This window comes from Homo sapiens, chromosome 12, assembly GCF_000001405.40.
Source record: "Homo sapiens chromosome 12, GRCh38.p14 Primary Assembly".
NCBI lineage: Eukaryota > Metazoa > Chordata > Mammalia > Primates > Hominidae > Homo > Homo sapiens.
Genome location: NC_000012.12, coordinates 124,427,198 through 124,446,780, shown reverse-complemented (window position 1 = coordinate 124,446,780; position 19,583 = coordinate 124,427,198). Strand labels below are relative to the sequence as shown.

At 56.7% G+C, this 19,583-nt stretch overlaps 1 protein-coding gene across 3 annotated transcripts in view, besides 7 other annotated features; it reads left to right on the top strand.

Annotated features, from left to right (window-relative positions):
• NCOR2 (nuclear receptor corepressor 2) overlaps nucleotides 1-19,583 on the top strand; it is a 243,198-nt gene that overhangs the window by 120,832 nt on the left and 102,783 nt on the right. For 2 of the 3 annotated variants that reach the window (NM_001077261.4, NM_001206654.2), the window contains exons 10-12: nucleotides 8,785-8,851; nucleotides 15,994-16,166; nucleotides 17,078-17,168. In NM_001077261.4, coding sequence (NP_001070729.2) covers nucleotides 8,785-8,851; nucleotides 15,994-16,166; nucleotides 17,078-17,168 — 331 coding nt within the window. Of the gene's footprint in view, nucleotides 1-8,784; nucleotides 8,852-15,993; nucleotides 16,167-17,074; nucleotides 17,169-19,583 lie in introns of all 3 variants that reach the window. The other variant, NM_006312.6, reaches the window with a different exon arrangement.
• Nucleotides 5,880-6,600: an enhancer, noted in NCBI's record as "H3K4me1 hESC enhancer chr12:124924727-124925447 (GRCh37/hg19 assembly coordinates)". NCBI's record gives its function as "activates a minimal SCP1, AML or CMV promoter by ChIP-STARR-seq in naive H9 embryonic stem cells {active_cell/tissue: H9 hESC(naive)}" and the evidence as "EXISTENCE:reporter gene assay evidence [ECO:0000049][PMID:30033119]".
• Nucleotides 6,601-7,320: an enhancer, noted in NCBI's record as "H3K27ac-H3K4me1 hESC enhancer chr12:124924007-124924726 (GRCh37/hg19 assembly coordinates)". NCBI's record gives its function as "activates a minimal SCP1, AML or CMV promoter by ChIP-STARR-seq in naive H9 embryonic stem cells {active_cell/tissue: H9 hESC(naive)}" and the evidence as "EXISTENCE:reporter gene assay evidence [ECO:0000049][PMID:30033119]".
• Nucleotides 8,195-8,294: an enhancer, noted in NCBI's record as "active region_7285". NCBI's record gives its function as "activates an Ori minimal core promoter by ATAC-STARR-seq in GM12878 lymphoblastoid cells {active_cell/tissue: GM12878}" and the evidence as "EXISTENCE:reporter gene assay evidence [ECO:0000049][PMID:35858748]".
• Nucleotides 12,997-13,604: an enhancer, noted in NCBI's record as "H3K27ac-H3K4me1 hESC enhancer chr12:124917723-124918330 (GRCh37/hg19 assembly coordinates)". NCBI's record gives its function as "activates a minimal SCP1, AML or CMV promoter by ChIP-STARR-seq in naive H9 embryonic stem cells {active_cell/tissue: H9 hESC(naive)}" and the evidence as "EXISTENCE:reporter gene assay evidence [ECO:0000049][PMID:30033119]".
• Nucleotides 13,605-14,212: an enhancer, noted in NCBI's record as "H3K27ac-H3K4me1 hESC enhancer chr12:124917115-124917722 (GRCh37/hg19 assembly coordinates)". NCBI's record gives its function as "activates a minimal SCP1, AML or CMV promoter by ChIP-STARR-seq in naive and primed H9 embryonic stem cells {active_cell/tissue: H9 hESC(naive and primed)}" and the evidence as "EXISTENCE:reporter gene assay evidence [ECO:0000049][PMID:30033119]".
• Nucleotides 18,414-18,952: an enhancer, noted in NCBI's record as "H3K4me1 hESC enhancer chr12:124912375-124912913 (GRCh37/hg19 assembly coordinates)". NCBI's record gives its function as "activates a minimal SCP1, AML or CMV promoter by ChIP-STARR-seq in primed H9 embryonic stem cells {active_cell/tissue: H9 hESC(primed)}" and the evidence as "EXISTENCE:reporter gene assay evidence [ECO:0000049][PMID:30033119]".
• Nucleotides 18,953-19,492: an enhancer, noted in NCBI's record as "H3K4me1 hESC enhancer chr12:124911835-124912374 (GRCh37/hg19 assembly coordinates)". NCBI's record gives its function as "activates a minimal SCP1, AML or CMV promoter by ChIP-STARR-seq in primed H9 embryonic stem cells {active_cell/tissue: H9 hESC(primed)}" and the evidence as "EXISTENCE:reporter gene assay evidence [ECO:0000049][PMID:30033119]".

Genomic DNA, 19,583 nt, shown 5'->3' with positions numbered 1-19,583 from the left:
CTACTAAAATTATCATCCCTTCTATTTTTTAGATTTCAATCTGGTTATCATTAAATTTCATTGTGCAGTCATTCATTTTTTAAAAATTCTATTACTCTGGTAAGTGGGGTAATGGGAGAGAAAATGAGGGGGTGACATTAGCCAGAGAGGTCAGGGCAGGCCATGACAGTTAAGGGGACCCTTGTAGGCTGAGCAGCAGCTGGCTGTGTGGACCTCTGGGGAGTGTCCCAGACAGGTGGAACAGGAGGTGCAAAGGCCTTCCTGAGCTGGCAGGGGTCACAGAGAAGGCTGGCATGGCCCAAGGAGGTAGGCAAGGGAGAGGAGGGCACAGGCCAGGTCACGGGGGGCTGGTAAGGAGTTCCGGTTTTATTATCTGTTGGGATAATAATGATGAAGTTTATAATAGTGATGAAGTTTATCCCAGGAAGCAATGTGATCAGACTTTTGTTTTAAAAGTTCACTTTGGTGGCTGCAGGGAGGAAGGACCTGGGGGTAGGGGTGAGAATACCATGGGAAGGCCCCTGCAGGAGCTGCCGAGGTAGGTAGTGAGCACCCTGTCACTGGGAGGTTTGCAAGCTGAGGGTGCATAATGTTCAGGAAATCTGCAGTGCCCAGGAAGCTGCCCTTGGCAGCCTCTGCACCCTGCACTCCTTGCAGGCTCTGATGTTTTGTGACCGCTCATGCTAGACTGCAGAAACTGTCTCGTGTCCAGTGCTGGGACATGGGAAGGGAGGCCCCGTGCAGGCCCCGTCCCACCATGTGGCTGGACACAGGGACCTCAAGTGGGACCGCAGCTCGTCCTGGCTGTTTGACTAGCTGTGTGTCCCTGTGGGAAGTCACTTGCCCTCTAGGGCTCAGTTTCAGACGTGCTCACTAAGGTCAGTGCTCAGCACGTACAGCACATACTACTGGGTTTTTGGTTCTTCTTTCTTTTGTCTACAGAGACCCAGACTCATTCATTCGACAAATATTTACTGAGCATCTACTACACGCCAGGCACTGTTCTGGGCCTCTAGGAGATAGGAGTGAATGAGGCCTGACATTCTAGTAGGGGAGGCTGATAAGAATAAATACATTGTGATAAGTGACTGCCGCCATGGGACAATGAGATGATCCAGCCGGGGTCAGGTGGGGCTCCCAGCTTCCCCTGGAGCAGCCTCCCTGGCGCTCACGGCCTCCTCGCCCCCGCTGCTGTCATTGCTTCTAGGTGGGAGGTCGTTCCCTCCCCAGAGACCTTGCCCCGTCACTTTAATTTCTCTGCGTCTGCATGCTGGGGCCGCGGAGTGAAAGTTAATTTCACGCTTGACTTCCTGCCGCACAGACGATTTCGGACGCGTTGGAGTCGCCCGTAGCCGCCTCCGCCGCCCTCCCACCGCCACCTGCTTCGGGCGCTGCTGGTGTCCCCTGCTGCAGGAGGGAGCGCTCAGACCACCGGGGCGGGGCCGGGGCAGCCGCAGAGGGGCAGGAGATGGGGGCTCCATCGAGGGATGGGCCCCACCCTGGGCAGGATGCTCCAGGAATTCCCGGGAGTCTATGGAGCCCGCGTGGGATGTGGTGAAAGTGCGTGGGACCTGGGGATGAGCGGCAGATGGCGCTCAGGCACATTCTGCCTCTGCCTGCCCGGGGGTTGCCCTGGTTCACCGGCCCCCTCAGGCCTGGAAGCCGGTTTCTTCCGTTGCTCGTTTTTCTCTTTTCGCAGCCTGATTTCTTCCCTCCTGCTGCCTCATTTGGGGGTCGGCTGATGGGAACTGTCAGACCCGGGGCTGTGCAGGCGGAAAGGGGGATCAGTCAGAACCCAGGTTACTCTTAGCAGGTCTCTCTGGTCTTGTTCAGAGACATCAGATGACTCCCCCAGGGTCACACAGACAAATTCCTAGACCAGTCCTAACTGCACATCCAGCCAACTTCCTCTCCTGGGTCTCTACTCCAGGCCCTGCCCCTCCCTACCTGGGTGACCTTAGACAAGTCACATCACATTGTTTGGCACTGTCACAGCTTTTGGTTGGCGCTCAGTGATCAGGAGGTTCAGACCATCACCCCAACCCGCAGTCTCTTCCCAAGGTATCCGGGCCCTGCATATCTGCCTCCCTCTTCCTCTCCCCTGCAGCCGGGGTCAGGCTCTCCCTGAGCACCCCTTCTGCCCTCTCCAGATTCACTATTGCTGCCTCCCTCCCTAGAACCCAGGGCTCTGCTCATTTTCTTCTTCCCACCGCATTCCTCTGCTTCTCTCAGGCCTCAGCTCAAACCTCCCTTCCTCCAGGAAGCCTCCCCTGATTGCCCCCAAGCTTTCCTTTTCCAGTACCCCATAAACCCCAGGACCAGTCCCAGCTAGGGTCCAACCGGACTCCCCTGGAATACTCTCATAATTCCTGCCTCCTTATCCTGCCCTCCTATGTCCTGCTTCTCCTCTCCAGTGCCCTGGCAGATGGCAAGACTAGGTTTCCTTATAGGGTGTGTGTTTTTAAACCCTGACTTCTTTGCACCCCATGAGTGCCTCTACCAGCAAACTCATCACATGCTGCTTACCCCATGCCTCCAGAGCCCTCCTACAGACTGTGGTCCTTATGCTTGCCGGACAGAAGCTCAGCAGAAAAGATTTGTCTGCAGTAAGCTATTTGCATCTTCATTGCCTAAACACTGCTTGGAACAAAATAAACACTTAAAAAAACGTTTGCCAGAGGAATGTTGAACACGTGGGCATCATAAACCAGGAGTCCCCCAGGTGGCTGCCTCCAGGAGCGGGAAGGAAGGTTTGAGTGAGGAGGGCTGGTGTGAGGCAATAGGGAGTAGTAGGGGCTGAGGAACGGGGAGCTGGGCGACCTTTGAAAGGAGCAGCCAAGCCTCAGTTTCCCAGCCTGTGGCCATGAAGGGGTGTGGCCCGATGGCCTGATGTTTTCAAGAGAAGCTTTAGGTTTGGCTTTTTGTGTAACAGCCTCTGGTTTTCAGTGCTGGCAATGAATTTAGGATTTTAGAAAGCACCAGCCGGGTGCGGTGGCTCACACCTGTAATCCCAGCACTTTGGGAGGCTGAGGCAGGCAGATCATGAGGTCAGGAGTTTGAGATCAGCCTGGCCAATATAGTGAAACCCCGTCTCTACTAAAAATACGAAAATTAGCTGGGCGTAGTGGCACGTGCCTATAGCCCCAGTTACTTGGGAGGCTGAGGCAGGACAATCACTTGAACCCGGGAGGCAGAGGTTGCAGTGAGCCGAGATTGCGCCACTGCACTCCAGCCTAGGTGACAGAGCAAGAGACTCCATCTCAAAAAAATAAAAAATAAAAAATAAATAAATAAAGCACCACAGCCCAACACAACACCCTCAGAGGCTGTCTCTGGCCTGTGCACTGTGCAGTTTGCACCCTGCGGACTTGACATGTGTTTGCAGACTTGACGTGTCCTCTTGCGTGGTACGTGGATGTCTCTGGGTGGCAGGCAGTGTCCTTGCTTTGGGAGGAAACCTGGATCAGCCAGGGTGGATTCACACCCTCAGTTGCTGCCCATCGGTGGCAAACAGACGGCTGCATGCACATCACCACCACCCCGAGGCCTCATGCTCACCGAGTCGTTTTCCAGCTGCAGTGACAGCACCGCGGTTTGTGGAAGATCACACGCCGGACTAGCTTCTCAGCGCTGCCTTAACACTCGGCCGTGAACCGGGCAGCTGAAAATGGCAGGAACTTTCTTCTCTCACAGTACTGGAGGCCAGCAGTTGGAAATCAAGGTGCTGCAGGACCACATTCTCTAGAAGGCTCTGGGGGAGGCTGCTTCCTTGCCGGTTCCAGCTCCTGGCGGCTGCCGGCCTCCTTGGCGTTCCTTGGCTGGGAGATGCGTCACTCCCGTCTTTTGTATTCGTGTGGTGTTCTTCCCGTGTCTGTTCGCGTCATCTCCCCTCCGTGTGTGTCTGTCTTTTTGTCCAAATTTCCCCTTTTCATAAGTCATTGGATTAGGGCCCACCCCAGTAACCTCATTCTAACTTGCTTCTCGCTCTAAAGACTCTGTTTCCAAATGAGGTCATGTTTTGAGGTGCTGGGGCTTAGGACTTTACACATATCAGTTTTTTTGTAGTTGGGGTTGGGGGTGACATTCCCACCTGTACTAGGCAGTGTACCACCTGCAAACCCCAAAGTCAATTTTGTATGGTCTTCACCACGGTGTTTCAAAGTGGATTCTATCTCTCTTCTTTTGTGAGAAGGTGGAACTATTTATTTTGAAGTAACTAGATTGTACGTTGTGCAACAGAAGAGTTGCAAATACGCTCCACAGAGTTCCCCCACACACGTCACCTGGCACCCCTCATGTGGACAGCTTATATAACAGCAGAGAAACACTTACCACAACTAGGGCCTGCCATGGTGGCCCACGCCTGTCATCCCAGCACTTTGGGAGGCCAAGGTGGGAGGATCACTTGAGGCTAGGAGTTGGAGACGAGCTGGGCAACAAAGCAAGACCTCATCTCTACCAAAAAATAAATTAGCCAAGTATGGTGGCATGTACCTGTAGTTCCAGCTACTCAGGAGGCTGAGGCAGGAGGATTGCTTGAGCCCAGGAGTTCAAGGATGCAGTGAGCCATGATCGAGCCACTGCACTCCCGCCTGGGAGACAGAGTAAGACCCTGTCTCTAAAAACAAAAATCAAAACAAAACAAAACAAAATACTAAGAAAGAAATAGTGGCACATGACCCTCTGCTAAACTACCAGCTGTCTTTGCATTTTCACCCGTCTCTCCGCCAACGTCTGTTTTCTGGTCCAGGATCTGATTCAGGTTCTCACGTGACATTTGTGCTCGTGTCTCTTTAGTCTCCAGCCCGTGACGGCTTCTCAGCCTTGCCTTGTTTTTCACCACCCCAGCACTTTTGAAGATCACTGGTCATGGCTTTCTTTGACAGGTGTTTCCTCCTGGTAAGACTGGGATGGTGGGTTTTGGGGAAGACCAGAGAGAGGTAAGGGGGCTGCGTGATGCCCACATGATAGGGGGCTCTGCCCTAGGTCTCCGCTGTCGCCTTAGAGTTATCCCTCCTTTGCTCTGTTCTTTACTAGGGAGTCACCAAGTCCCACCCATCTTCCAGGGCAGGGGAGTTAAGCTCCGCCTCCTGGAGGGAGGAATATAGATTTGTGGAGCCACCGCCATGATTCATACATACTTGCGGGGAGATTCTTTGAGACTGTGCAAATTTCCTGTTGCTCCTTAAAATTTTGCCAACCAATTTAGCATTCATCCCCGGATCTTGCCAGCGGTGGTTGGGTTATTACTGCGTTCTAATGACGATTTTCTGTTTCCCTCCTCTCTTGGACATTTATTCATTGGAACTCTAGAAGAAAGATCTGTCCCTTCTCCTCCATGTATTGATGTATTGAATCATTTGTTTGTAATCACATGGACTCGTGGGGATTTGTTTTATTCCTGGGACGCTAATCTAGTCCCAGGGTTATTTCTGTTGTCACTCACATTGTTCCAGCTCTGGCAGCCGGAAACCTTCAGGCTGGGTTCTGTGTCCTTTTGACTTTTGTTTTCTTTTGTTTTTGGCAATTCTTGACTTAAAGTCACTCTGGGCTCTTCTTGCATACTTCCTGGCCGAGCGCTGGAATCAGCCATGGCCCGGGCAGCGCGGTTTCTGGGATTGGAGGATGGTCTTTGCTGAGATATGGGTGCTGCTGTGCTCATGGCGCCTGGGCCTTCACTGCTTCTAGGCCTTCACAGCTGTCTTTTGCATAAAAGACCAAACCCTTTGCCATGTCGAAACTCACAGGACCCTGCAGGACTGGCCCTGCCAGTCTTGCTCACAGCCCCTCCTCCGTCCTCTCTGCCCCTCCCCAGCACTGTCCAGCCACAGGGCCTTCCTCTGTCTGTGCTTCCGATACACAGAGTTTGTTCCTGTCTCCTGCGGTGCCCTCCAGCTGGAGTTCCCTTCCTTCTGGATCTTCCCAGAGCCGGGTCCTTCTGATGACGTAGATCCCAGCTCAAGGCCATCCTCTCTGGGAGATCTTTCTGCACCACGGAATCTAAAATAGCCCCTCACACCCCGTCCCCCAGCACCCACTAGCCCACCATTCCATTTAAGTTCCCAAATCCAGGATTATCTTGGTCATCTTGCTTATTGTCAGTGTCACCTCTGTGAGAGCCCTCAACTGTGTCTTGCTCCCTGCTGTGTCCCCAGCACCTGGAACAGTGCCTGGCACATAGTAGATGCTCAGTAAACAGTTATTGAATAACAGAAGATGAGGCTGCGATGCCATAGATTTCAGATGAGGAAACTGAGGGCTTCTGAGGTGTGCTCAGAGACACCCTGTTATGAGATGAAGGGTGCTGGTCCTAGCCTGTGGGACTGAGGACCCCCATGGCCCACCCTGGCCGGGGGGCGGCGGCCAGACTGATGGAAGGTGGGGAGGCCCTGGCCAAGTCACCACCAGAATGACCCGGGGACTGAGGTGGATTCCAGGCCCTTGAGCCCCATGAGGCTTCACTCGTCCGTCAGAGCCTGGGGTTCCCTCCTTTTCCTGTTTCCAATGGGGCTGGGGTCCCGGGGGCTGGACATAGCGTGGCTCCCAGTCAGTAGCTTTGGAACTTTTGAGGGGGTTTGGACACTGCTGAGAATATGAAAAAGTTGGGGATCCCCTCCCCAGAAAAGCGGGTGCCACTGAATGCCGCGGATTGGGGACAGACAGCAAGTTAAGGTGCACAGCAGGCTCCTGAGGTCGCTGTGGCCCCCCAGGCCCTGGGAGGCCAGCTGCAGCACCCTGCTTTGTGTGTTGGAGACCGTGGGGAGGGGCCTGGGAAGAGAAGAGGACGGTCCTGGGGTCTCGGTGCAGCAGTGGGTGGGGGTGTCTTCCAGCCCTCATGGCGTGGGCTCCAGAACCTCCCGCCTCTACTCTCCAGGGCTCCCTCCCTTTGCCTGTCTCAGGGTCCCTGTCCCCTTTCTTCGGGTCTTGTCTCTTTCCCTCTCCCCACTTCTCTCTCTTTCCCTCTCCTAGTTTCATCTTCCTCTGAGTCTCTGTCCCCTTCCTTTGGATCTTGTCTCTCTGTGACTGCCTCTCTCTCTCTCTCTGATCCTCTCTTTCTCATCTCTCTCACTCCAGTCTCACCTCTCAGTCTCATCTCCTGTCCATCTCCAGGTCTCTGTCCTTTCTTGGATCTCATCTGTCTATCTATCTCCGTCTCTGTGTCTCCCCTTCTCCCAGTCTCTGTCTCTTTCTCACCTCTGTCTCCCTGTCTGTCTCCCTCTCTCTGGGTCCCTGTTTCCCTCTCTGGGTCTCTGTCTCCGTCTCTCTCTCTCTGGGTCTCTGTTTCCCTCTTTCTCTGGGTCTCTGTCTCCCTCTCTCTGGGTCCCTGTTTCCCTCTCTGGGTCTCTGTCTCTCTCTCTCTCTCTCTGGGTCTCTGTCTCCCTCTGTCTCTGGGTCTCTGTCTCCCTCTGTCTCCGGGTCTCTGTCTCCCTCTCTCTCTGGGTCTCTGTCTCTCCCTCTGTCTCTGGGTCTCTGTCTCTCTCTCTCTGGGTCTCTCTCTCCCTCTGTCTCAGGGTCTCCATCTCTCTCTCTCTGGGTCTCTGTCTCCCTCTGTCTCTGGGTCTCTGTCTCCCTCTGTCTCTGGGTCTCCGTCTCTCTCTCTCTGGGTCTCTGTTTCCCTCTCTCTGGGTTTCTGTCTCCCTCTGTCTCTGGGTCTCTGTCTCTGGGTCTCTGTCTCTCCCTCTGTCTCTGGGTCTCTGTTTCTCTCTCTGGGTCTCTGTCTCCCTCTGTCTCAGGGTCTCCATCTCTCTCTCTCTGGGTCTCTGTCTCCCTCTGTCTCAGGGTCTCCATCTCTCTCTCTCTGGGTCTCTGTCTCCCTCTGTCTCTGGGTCTCTCTCTCCCTCTGTCTCTGGGTCTCCGTCTCTCTCTCTCTGGGTCTCTGTCTCCCTCTCTCTGGGTCTCTGTCTTCCTCTGTCTCTGGGTCTCTGTCTCCCTCTGTCTCTGGGTCTCTGTCTCCCTCTCTCTGGGTCTCCGTCTCTCTCTCTCTCTCTCTCTCTCTCTCTCTGTCTCTCTGGGTCTCTGTCTCTCTCTCTCTCTCTGGTTCTCTGTTTCCCTGTCTCTCTGGGTCTCTGTCTCCCTCTCTTTCTGGGTCTCTGTCTCCCTCTCTCTCTCTGAAACTCCCGTCTCCCAGGACGTGCCTCCTTCTCTTGGAGCCTGCAGTGGTGTGTGTAACCTGCTTGGTTGAGACCCCATGGGCCCTGCCCTGAAGTCTGAGACCGCCCCCGCCCGGGGGTTTCCTGAAGTCCATGCCTGGTGGCCCCACCAGCTGCCCCACACTGCTTGTGTCCCTCCCCCCGCAGCAGGACTGGGTGTGCTGGAGGTCCATGCACAGCACCTGGTTGGAGCCAATCCTGGGGCCACACAGGCCACACTCTGACACCCGGCCTGTGGGCGGCAGCAGGTCTCGGGGTCTCGGGCTCTGTGGCCTGTATTCCTAGTTGGAGGCTGTGGCTGTTTCTCCGTGGCCATCTTTCCGTGGGCAGATGTGGCTGCCGGGGTGCATGTGGGCGGGGGCGGGAAGCCACAGGCCCCTCGGCTCTGGGAACCCTCTTGCCTGCACACTGGGCTCAACCTAAACGTTGGCGGGGGCTGCCTCGCGCGCGGGGGAGTAAGGATGCACGTTGGCAGCTCACAGGTCTCTCTGGGGATACAGCACGGGTGGGTCTCATCTCCCTGAGAACCAATAACGGGGCAAATTTGGGGCTCACTCTCAGCAAACAGGATGGCACGGGGTGCAGCGCCTGAGCCCGGCCGGGCTGACCTGTCTGCCGCTTCCCTCCTGCACAGAAACCAGGCGATGCGGAAGAAGCTAATCTTGTACTTCAAGAGGAGGAATCACGCTCGGAAACAATGGGTAAGTCCACACCGTGGCCCCCATCAGCTTTCCTTGAGATCTGGGGAGAATCGAGCGCACAGGGGGCCACACCTGCCGGGGCCCTGTCAGTTCCGCAGCTGTGTCCTCCCTGAGTGTCCAGGCTGCGGAGGAAAAGCCAAGGCCGGCCAGGAAAGGAGGAAAGACAACAGCTGCTTCCAGAAGGCCCCAGGGTGGGTGGGGGTGGGGGGGCTCTATGGCCCCTCTTCCAGCCTGGAAGGGAAGAAAGCAAAATGTTGGCCTGGAAAATTAGTTGCTAAGCCCTGGTCACGGGACCTGTCCTGGGCTTTTCAGGCAGAAAGAGAGGTTTTGGAGAGAGGTGGAGGATCAGGGTGGGCTGTGTGCCGGGCAGCAGGGGCCGCAGGCGCACCCTTACAAATGAGCCTTTCCTGGTGCACTGGGCCCAGGTCCAGGCTCAGGGAAACTGAGACAGTGGACAAGCATTGAGCCCCCTTTCCCTGAGCCTGCATTTGTGGCCAGTGGCCTCATCCAAACAGAAAAGGATGCTGATTCCTGCTTCTCACTGTAGGCTGTGGATCTCAGCCCACGGCGGGGAGGCTGGGTCTGCCAGAGGCATGTGGTGGTGGTTTCAGGCGGCCGTGGCCATCACCCATTCCCCGGAGGAGATCAGGGTTGAGTATTCTCCCAGCTGTCAGGGGAAGAAGCGCGGACTCAGATGGGCTTCAACAGGAAAGGAATGGCTGTAGCTGGAAATGTCTGTTGGGTGTAGATGGCAGGAATAGTCTTTCAACTCAAGTCTTGCCTTCATTTCATTTCATTACATTTCATTTCATTTTATTTGTTTATTTATTTATTATTTATTTTTGAGATGGAGTTTCGCTCTGTCACCCAGGTTGGAGTGCAGTGGCAGGGTCTCTACTCACTGCAGCCTCCGCCTCTCGGGTTCAAGCAATTCTCCTGCCTCAGCCTCCCAAGTAGCTGGGATTACAGGCGCCCGCCACCAAGCCCGGCTAATTTTTGTATTTTTAGTAGAGAAGGTTTCACTCCATTGACCAGGCTGGTCTTGAACTCCCGACCTCAGGTGATGCACCCGCCTCGGCCTCCCAAAGCGCTGGGATCACAGGTGTGAGCACTGCACCCAGCCCCTTCATTCCTGTGCAGTTTTTTCAACTCCTTATGTTAGAACATTGACAAACTGAACCTGAATTCCCATAGCAGGTGGGAGCCGGAGAGAGCTGTGCTTTCTCGGATGGTATCACAGATGCTCTGATTAGGCCAGGAGAGGGCCTGCGTCCTGTGAACCAGTGGCTGATGCCGGGGAGATGGAGTGAGGCTGCCTGGTTTTGGCTCATGGGACTTTCTCTACAGTTGGGGATGATGTCATTGACTCCACCCAAGCCACGGGGCTGCTGGGACATGGTAGGGAATGGGATAAGGCTGGGGAGGCCCTGAAAAGGTCCCCACCTGGGGAAGAGGCGGGCTGGATGGGGACTGCTGCCTTGGGATTCTTGGATAAGAGACGCGGCAAGGGCTGGGAACTAGGTTTGCTGGAGGCTGGAGGGGCTCCCCTCATACCTGCAGCCCCCTGCCCCACCTCCTCTCTCCCTCAGCTGTGTTGAGGCAGGGCCTGCGAGGCAGCTCCCTGTATCCTTTCTGGGCCTCCAGAGAGGCCCTCCCAGGCGCAGGCCTGGCTCAGTCATGCCCAGCGCCTGTAGGTCTGTGGTACACAGTAGGTGATGACCAAGTCCTGCTTGAACTGAAATGGGCCGGGACAGGGTGTTAGCTGATCCAGTGCCTTTGGGGCCTGGATGCCAGTAGTCACGGAGCACCTACTGTGTGTGAGGCTCGCAGTTGCTGTGACACGGGCCCTGTCCTCAGACCTGCAGGCTGCAGGGACAGGTCGTGCGTAAGGACGAGGAGGATGCCCGCACACCCTGCCCTTCCGGTGCCTGTTGTGTTGCAGGCGCTCTTCTGAGTGCTCTCCATACATTAGGGCATTTAGTCCTGCGAGGTGGGCGCTTGGTCAGCCACATGTTTCAGAGGAGGAAATCGAGGCACAGAGAGGTTAAGTAACTTGCCCTAGGTCACACAGCTGGGAAGTGGTGGAGCTGAGATTTGAACCCAGACCACCTGGTTCCTGAGCCCATGCTCTGAACCCCCAAGGGGCAGTTCCGAGAGAGTCCAGGAGGGTGTGTGGGGTATGGTGGTGTGGTGAGCGGCCACATGGTGGGGCTGAGCAGTGCCTGGGGAGGGGGACCCTGGGCAGGCATGGGGTCCTGGGCAGGTGTGTGGGCACGTGGGGCCAGGTGAGGGGCTTAGCTGGGGCAGGAGGTCCTGGCTTTGGAAGGAGGGGCTGTGCTATATGGGAGGAGGGTCTTCCCTTGGCCCTGCCTGCCTGCTCTGGCCCCGAACTTGGTTGGGTACTAGAGGGAGGAGACACTTCCAGCCAGATGCTGGTGCCTGGGAAGCTGCGGGCAGCCCTCGGGACCCAAGCCCTGCTCATAGGTGAGGAGAGGTGGGCTGCCCAGCAGTGCCTTGCCCAGCTTCCTCAGATCCCCCACCTTGACTGGATGGTGCCCACAGGCACTTGGGCTGGTGCGAGAGGCTCTTGAAACGAGCGTCCAATCTGTTTATCAAGTTAAGAGATACCCACACAGGGCTGCTGGGTGCCCGGGAGTCACAGGCCAGGAAACAGACCGGTAATCTGGGGAGAAGAGCTGCACAGAGGGCTAGACTCTCGAGATGGGCTGGGGACCTCAGTGCTGAGGTGGGAATGACCAGAAAGGACTGGCTTTGTGCGGATCTGGGAGTCAGGGTGTCAGGCAGAGGGCATAGCAAGTGCAGAGGCCCTGAGGCAGGAACCAGCTTGGGACAGAACCTGGCAGGCCAGCAGCAGGAGCCAGGTCGCGTGGAAACATCTGCCCTCAGGCTAGGATGGAACATTCAGGTTTTATTCCGAATGCAGTGGGACACCGAATTTATTCTTAATACATGTATTTGTAGTAAAGAATCCAAAGTCCTTATTCTAAGAAATTTGACAGAAGAGTACAAGGCACATCTATATACCCACCACCTAGAATCAGCCACGGTTACCATTGCCTTGTATTTGCTCTGTGTGTATAACATGTTTGTTGTTGCACTATTGGAAAATAGGTGCAGAGGTGCCGACCTTCACCCCTAATAAATACTCCCCCTCTGTCTCCTGCGAGGAAGGAAATCCTCTCATTTTCACCTAAAATGACTGCCAATTCAGCGCGATCTTGCCGCCTCCTTGACAGCCCCCCATGGTTCCCCCCTTGGGGTGAAGGCTCCTCTCGGGAGGGCAGGAGAGGATCTGATTTCCATTTAAAAGGATCGCTGCAGCTGCTGGAAGGAGCTCAGGCTGGAGGTGGAGTTGGGGTGGGCTTGAGTTCTTTAAAGATCGCCAGTGGCTCCTTGGGGGGTCTGTGGAGGGGGTGGAGGGAGAAATTGGCTTATTTAAAGCTAGAGAAGAGGCAGGCAGAAACCAAGGACTTCCAAGAAGGGTCCGGTGTGGCTTTGTGGCCCATCTTAGGAGGGATGGAAACAAATTCAACACCCCCTGAAGCTGCGGTGGCGATTGGGATGGTCTCTTTGTTGTGGTATAAGAAGCCGAAGTCCCTGACTTCATTGATTTCAGTAAGGCCTGGGGAGGGGGGCTTGGCCGAGAACTCTGATGTGCCTGCCTCACCCCCACTGGGGAGTCAGACCCCCCTCAGACCCTGGGACCCCCACACCTTAGCAGGTTCCTGGGGACCCCCATACCTCTTCCCAGAGAGCAGGGCCTCGTCCCTGTCATGGGATCCTCAGCACCAGCACAGCCCCCCAAGCCTGCCACATCTCCTGGGAAGCTGAGCTGGACCCTCTGGAGGCCCAGTTGGCTGAGAGACTGGCTCAGCCTGTGGTCCCAGAGGCATGGCTGGCCTGCTTCTTCTCCCTAGTGGATTTGCGCTCCTAGCACCCCGCAGACTAGCTGGCGGGGGTGGGGGGCGGGAGGGGGACGGCTCCAGTCTTTCCCTGTGTGTGTGTGTGCGTGTGTGTGTGTGTGTGTGTGTGTGTGTGTGTGTGTGTGTGTGTGTGTGTGTGTAAGACAGAGAGAGGGAGGGAGGGAAGGGAGGAAGGGATCTGTTTCCTCCCCTGGCCAGTGGGTCTGCCCTTGTAGAAAAATGCCAGTGAGCATCTTCCCTGCTACCCAGGCCAGGCCGGAGCTGCCCGCCCTGCGCTGTCCGAGGCAGACCGAATGCACACCCAGCACAGTGGACATAGGCACAGGCTACAGCAGGTGGCACTGTGGTTAGACCCAGAGGGGGACTTCCTTGTTCTGGGCAGAAGGCAGAGCCCAGTGCTTGGGGCCATGGAGGTGTCTGGATGTCCCCTCAGGGACACTACTGCTGGAGGCCTTTGCCACCCGTGCACTCCACGAGGGACCCAGCTAGAGCCGGGCCGTCTTGCCAGCGCCCTGCCGGCAATGTGGACAGGCTGAGGCCCCGCTGGCCAGTGGCCTGTTGGCTTCCGCCCGCTGGTCTGCACCAGTCACCACGTGACTTTCCTCTGCTGGCTTGAGGTGAGCTTTTCTCACCCATGAGCCTGGGGCCTCTTGGACAGGGGCCGAGGTGGCATGGGCTGGTTGTTGCCGTCCCTGCAGTCCCCATCCCTCACTGGGGCTGTCAGCAGCCACTGCCCCGAGCACGTGTGGCCGTTGTCTGTCACCAGAACTGCCTCTTGATCTCCAGCGCGTTCCTGGCACAGCCTGCATGCATGGGGTTAGGTTCTGGGCCACCCAGCACCAGCCTGGCCACCTCGTGGGGACCGTCATGGTCACGGGGCTGTCGAGGATGGAGGGCACAGCTTGCCCTTGGTCAGCAGCTGAAATATGGGGTGGGGTGGGGCTGAGGTGTCTGGGCTCCAGGACCAGAGAGGGGCTTTCTGACTGTACCGAAGCACCAAGTGGGTGTTTGTGGAGGCTCCCAGATCACACCGTCTGTCCACCCCCAGCTGTTAGAGGTGGAGTAACTGGGGTTGTGTGGGTGGCTCGCCCTGCGTCCCCTTCCCCGCCCCCACCCCCCGCCCCCCGCCGCCACTTGCTCAAGTCACCTTGGAGATGTGGAAGCCAGGCAGCTATGCTCTGGGCTGATTGGGGATCTCTTCTCAAAGGACATGCAGCAGGCAGCACTGTGGTTAGATGTGGAGAGGGACTTCCTTGTCTTGGAGGGAAGGCAGAGCCCCCTCTCTGGGAGCTGCTGGGGTCCTCACAGCTGGTCCTTGGGGTGAGGCTGGGGAATGAGGAACTGCTTGGAATGTGGTTTTCTCTGGCGGCTGCCCCTCCCCAGGGCTGACGGGCCCGCATGTTGTACAGCACAGCTTCCTGTGGTGTGGCAGTGGGCTCCATCCGGGCTGTCTGGTGCGGCCGGAGCCCCAGCCGCATGTGGCTGCTGGACACTGGAAGCATGGCTGGGGAGAACTAGAGCCCGACTCTTAAATTTTACTGGATTTGTGATTTCAGTTGAGCCACACATGGTGGGTGGCTTCCATTTGGGACCAGGCCTCTGCAGAGGAGGCCAGGTCTGGGTGGCCGGTTCACCAGGAAGGGAGGTGACCGTGTCCTCAGGGGAAGTCTGTGGGTTTTCTTCAGGGGCCCCCGTCTGCTGGATAGCCATGCAACTATGTGCCTGTCTTTCTGTCGTCTGCCTGTGTGATGTGTGTGTGTCTGTTGTGTGTCTACATGTGTGACTCTGTGTATGTGTGTCCATCATGTCTGCCTGCGAGACCCTGTGTGTGCATCTGTTTGTCTGCCTGCGACTGTGTGTGTGTCTGTCATATGTCTGCCTGGATGACCGTGTGTGTGTGTCTGCCTGCCTGTGTGACCGCCTGTGTGTCTGCCTGCCTGCCTGTGTGATGGACTGTGTGTGTGTCTGTCATATGTCTGCCTGCATGACCATGTGTGTGTGTCTGCCTGCCTGTGTGACTGACTGTGTGTCTGTCTGCCTGTGTGACCATCTGTGTGTCTGGCTGGCTGGCTGTGTGACTTATGTGCCTGTGTATATATGTGTGTGTGTGTGTCTCTCTGTGTATCTGCCTATATGACTGTCTGTCTGCCTGTGTGACTGTGTGTCTGTCTGTCTGTCTGCCTGTGTATCTGTCTGTGTGTCTGCCATGTGACTGTGTGACTGTGTGTCTACTGTGTGTGTACCGTGTGGGTGACTGCATGTGTGTATGTGACTGTGTGTGTCTGTGACTGTATGTGTGTGTATCTGTGTGTCTGCCTGTGTGACTTGTGTGTGCCTGTATGTATGTGTGCCTGTGTATATCTGTCTGACTGTATGTATGTGTGCCTGTGCATATATCTGTGTGTGTGTGTCTCTCTGTGTATCTTGTGTGTGCCTGTATGTATGTGTGCCTGTGTATATCTGTCTGACTGTATGTATGTGTGCCTGTGTATATATCTGTGTGTGTGTGTCTCTCTGTGTATCTGCCTATATGACTGTCTGTCTGCCTGTGTGACTGTGTGTCTGTCTGTCTGTCTGCCTGTGTATCTGTCTGTGTGTCTGCCATGTGACTGTCTGTGTGACTGTGTGTCTACTGTGTGTGTACCGTGTGGGTGACTGCATGTGTGTATGTGACTGTGTGTGTCTGTGACTGTATGTGTGTGTCTGTGTGTCTGCCTGTGTGACTTGTGTGTGCCTGTATGTACGTGTGCCTGTGTATATCTGTCTGACTGTATGTGTGTGTGCCTGTGTGTGCATGTCTGTGTGACTTTGTGTATCTGTGTGTGTCTGTGACTGCATGTGTGTCTGCCTGTGTGACTTGTGTGTGCCTGTGTATATCTGTCTGACTGTATGTGTGTGCCTGTATGTGCATGTCTGTGACTGTGTCTGAGTATATGTGTGTTTGTGTGACTGCATTTGTGTGTGCCTGTGTGACTTGTATGTGCCTGTGTGCTTGTGTGCCTGTGTGTATCTGACTGTATGTGTGTGCCTGTATGTATGTGTCTGTGTGGCTGTATCTGACTGTATATGTGTGTGCCTGTGTGACTTTGTGTGTGTGCGCACGCACCTGTGTGTCTGCCTGCATGTGAGTGGGCAGGGGGGAGGCGGCGGGTGCCAGGTGCAGGAGCATCTTCCGCAGTGCCCCCTGCGCTCTCCCAGGAGCAGAAGTTCTGCCAGCGCTATGACCAGCTCATGGAGGCCTGGGAGAAGAAGGTGGAGCGCATCGAGAACAACCCCCGGCGGCGGGCCAAGGAGAGCAAGGTGCGCGAGTACTACGAGAAGCAGTTCCCTGAGATCCGCAAGCAGCGCGAGCTGCAGGAGCGCATGCAGAGGTGAGCGGGGCCTGAGCCCAGGGCCCCCGACGTCAGGGCCCGGGGTCAGCTCCAGCATCCTCAGTAGAGATGGCCTGGCCAGGAAGGAACAGAACAGCACAGCAGCTTCTCAGGCCAGTGGCCAGGGCCCTACCAGACCCTGGCCTGTGTCACGTGGAGCCTCTTTGGCCTAATACTTACTTGGAACTTAAATACATTTTGGGGACAAGCACTTCTTCCCATGTGCCATAGCGTGCACCTGCCAGCTTCACTCATTTCTGGGGCCTGCACGACCCCTGAAGGCAGCTGAGTTTGAGATCCCTGGTGTGGGACAAAGGGGAGAGACGTGGCTAAGAGACCACGCTGTCAGCCTCCCCCAGTGGCTGTGAGGACTGGGTGGGCCCCATCTGAGAGGTGCCTGGTGACAGGCAGCTGTGGTTCTATGGCCATTTTTCTTTGGATGCACAGATAAGGCGATTCATTGGTAATGATAACAACACCTTTCACCCTTAACTGAAGTCACAAGCCATGTCTCATTAAGTTCCCCACAACAGCTCTAGGCAGCCAGGTGCCACTTTTGAATCCTCATATGACAGGGGAGGAAACTGAGGCACAGAGAGAAACACTTCGGCCCAGGGCCAAAGAGGCAGAGCTGGGCTTTGAACCCAGATCTTTGTAGCTGGGCTTTTCAGGGTGTTTTAGGAGAGAGGAAGGGACTGAGCTGCCCATGTCACAGGGTTTGGCCTTGCTGGGTTGGGGTGGGGGCTCCATGCCTCCCCAGGACCCCGGGTGTGGGGCCGGCCCCTCTGCTGGCCGCTGCCCACACTTCTCCTCTGGGGAGGGCGTGGGCTCAGGGCTGCGCCACAGGGGTCTGCTAGTGTCCCCGACCACCAGAAGACCGGTCCTGAGTGTGTCCCCTTGGTCCCCAGCAGGGTGGGCCAGCGGGGCAGTGGGCTGTCCATGTCGGCCGCCCGCAGCGAGCACGAGGTGTCAGAGATCATCGATGGCCTCTCAGAGCAGGAGGTGAGTCCAGGCCCTGACTCTGGCCTCAGCTCCTTTTCCCTGGCATCCCCCGTGAGGGTGCAGAGGCCCTAGCCAGAAACCACCTCCCGGGTGGTTTACGTCGAGGGGCTTTGCCACCGAAGCGCGGGTGGAATCAAGGTGGGTATTGAGGTACCCGTCCCAGGCCTGCAGGGGCGAGCAGAGAGAGGGGTGTTAATGTGTCTGAGAGGGAGGGTAGCAGGACCCCCTGCAGGGAGGGCCCTGGCGCTCCCCCATCCAGATGCCACAACAGGGAGGGGGTTGGGGGACGAGGACCCTGCCTCTCACTCTTCCCATCTCCTGCCTCCTTTTGGAACTTCCCATTGGCTGAGTCCAGCCAGAAGCCCAAGGGGCGGGAGTGCCTGTGGGTTCCAGGGTCAGCCTTCCAGGGCCCAGAGCCTGGCAGGGTGGGGGGAGCATGGCGCAGGCCGAAGAGTTCCCAGCACGCCAGCTGTCCACGCAGCCACGACCTTCTCGCAGGCACCTCAGCCCTCCTGGCTGGAGCAGGGCCGGTTTCCCCTCAGGCCTCTTTGGGGTGCCAGGACACCCTGGGGTCAGCCTAGGTGACCCTGGCTGCCGTCACTGGGGCCCACAGATGGCCAGGAAGCAGAGAGGCAGCCTTTTCTCCTGGGGAGGAAGTTGGTGTCAGCCTGTTCCCTCCCGGGTCCTGTGGGTCAGGTACCCATGATGAGACTACCCCCTGCTCCTAACACCACAGCAGACACGAGGCAGCCACGGCACGTTTCTTCCTTCTGGGGACTTTTGTCCAGGGAGAGCTTTTGTCCAGATGGGAGATTATAGCCCTTTAGCTCAGCACAGCAGAGCCACGCATGGCTATTGAAATCAAAATTAATTAAAATGGGATAAAATTAGCAATTCAGTTCCTCGGTTGCATCTGACACATCTCAAGAGCTCGACAGCCGCTTGTGGTTGGCAGCTCCCCTCCTGGGCGGAGCAGACAGCGAACACCTCCCTGGCTGCAGAGTGCTCTGTTGGACAACAGAACGCGCTGCCCTGCGATGCTGATGCTCAGATTAGACAGATGGAAGGGGCCCCAGGGAGGGGGCGGCTGGTTTAAGTAGCAGTTTCTCACCAGAGACTCTGATTCAGCTGGTCTGGGGCAGAGCCCAGGAATCCGCATTTTTACCCAGCCACCCACTTGATTCTGACGCAGGCAATCCAAAGATGAATCTGGCCATTAAAACATAATTTTTCATTTTAAAACTTCTCGTGGTACGTTTTTGTTTACAACAACATCCAGTTGACAGAAAACAGAGCTCAGAAAGCCATCGCATTGCACAGCCACAGGGCCCGGCCCTCGAAGGCTGGGCGCCGGAGCTGGGCCGTGTCAGCCCCTGTCTCACCGATGCTGTGCACTTATGGACATCCCGCAGAGAGGCTGGCTGTGGGTTTAGTCTGCACTGGAAGGAGGAGGCCGGTGGCCCTCTCCTCTGCATTCCTCACCTGATGGCCAAGGGTGTGGCACCTGGGCTGATTGTTGCATGTACACACACACACACACACACACACACACACACACACACACACACTGGCCACATGGGAATGCAGTCATCAGAGTCCTCAGGGACATCAAGGATGCTGTGTCCGGGGTGAAGGGTGGAAGTGGAATTTGGGACAGAAACTTCCCCAGCCAGCCTGGGGTGACCTGAGGTTCCCCCGGGAGTGTGCAAGGGAGGGGGCTGGGCCGGAGGACAGGCACTTCCCATCCTTCTGGGAGCTTCCTGTGGTCAGAGCACATGGCCGGCATGGGAAGGACAGGAAGGCAGCTGTGGGAGGGCAGAGCAGAGGTCCTGCCTGTGGCCGTGCCGGGGGTCCTGCCATTATTACATCCCTGGGATACCCGAGGAAGGTCGCCGTTCCGTATCAGGGGTGTAGGGGACAGCTCCAAGGGTCTGGGAGACAGATGCCAGCCTCTTGGGGGGATTCTCTCCCACCCCGGGGTCAGAGCTGTGCCCCGCACCCGACCTGACCCCTGGCTGGGAGTCCTGCACATTGAGTGAAGAGGTTGGATGTGGGCGGCCGGGCAGCTGGATCGTTTGAACTGGCTGACCTTGGCTACGCGGAGTCCTCGCCTACCTCCGGAGATGGGTAATTAATCGCCAGTAATTGGCTGGCTGCGAGATTTGGGGAAGTGAGCCCAGCTGAGTGGCGGCTCAGAGCCTCTTAATAGTCATCCCAGTGCATTAGGAGCGGCCGCCTGACTCCTGCCGCATGCAGGGCTGGGCAGGCCAGATCCCAGGTGGGCCCTCTGAAGGAGCGGGGTGCCGGGAGGGGGCGTGTAGTGTGGGGGCAGGAAAGACCTCTCCACCAGCGAGGCGCTGACCCTCTCTGCGCCCCTGGGCTGCCTGCATGCTGTGGGGCCAGCTGGACCCCAGG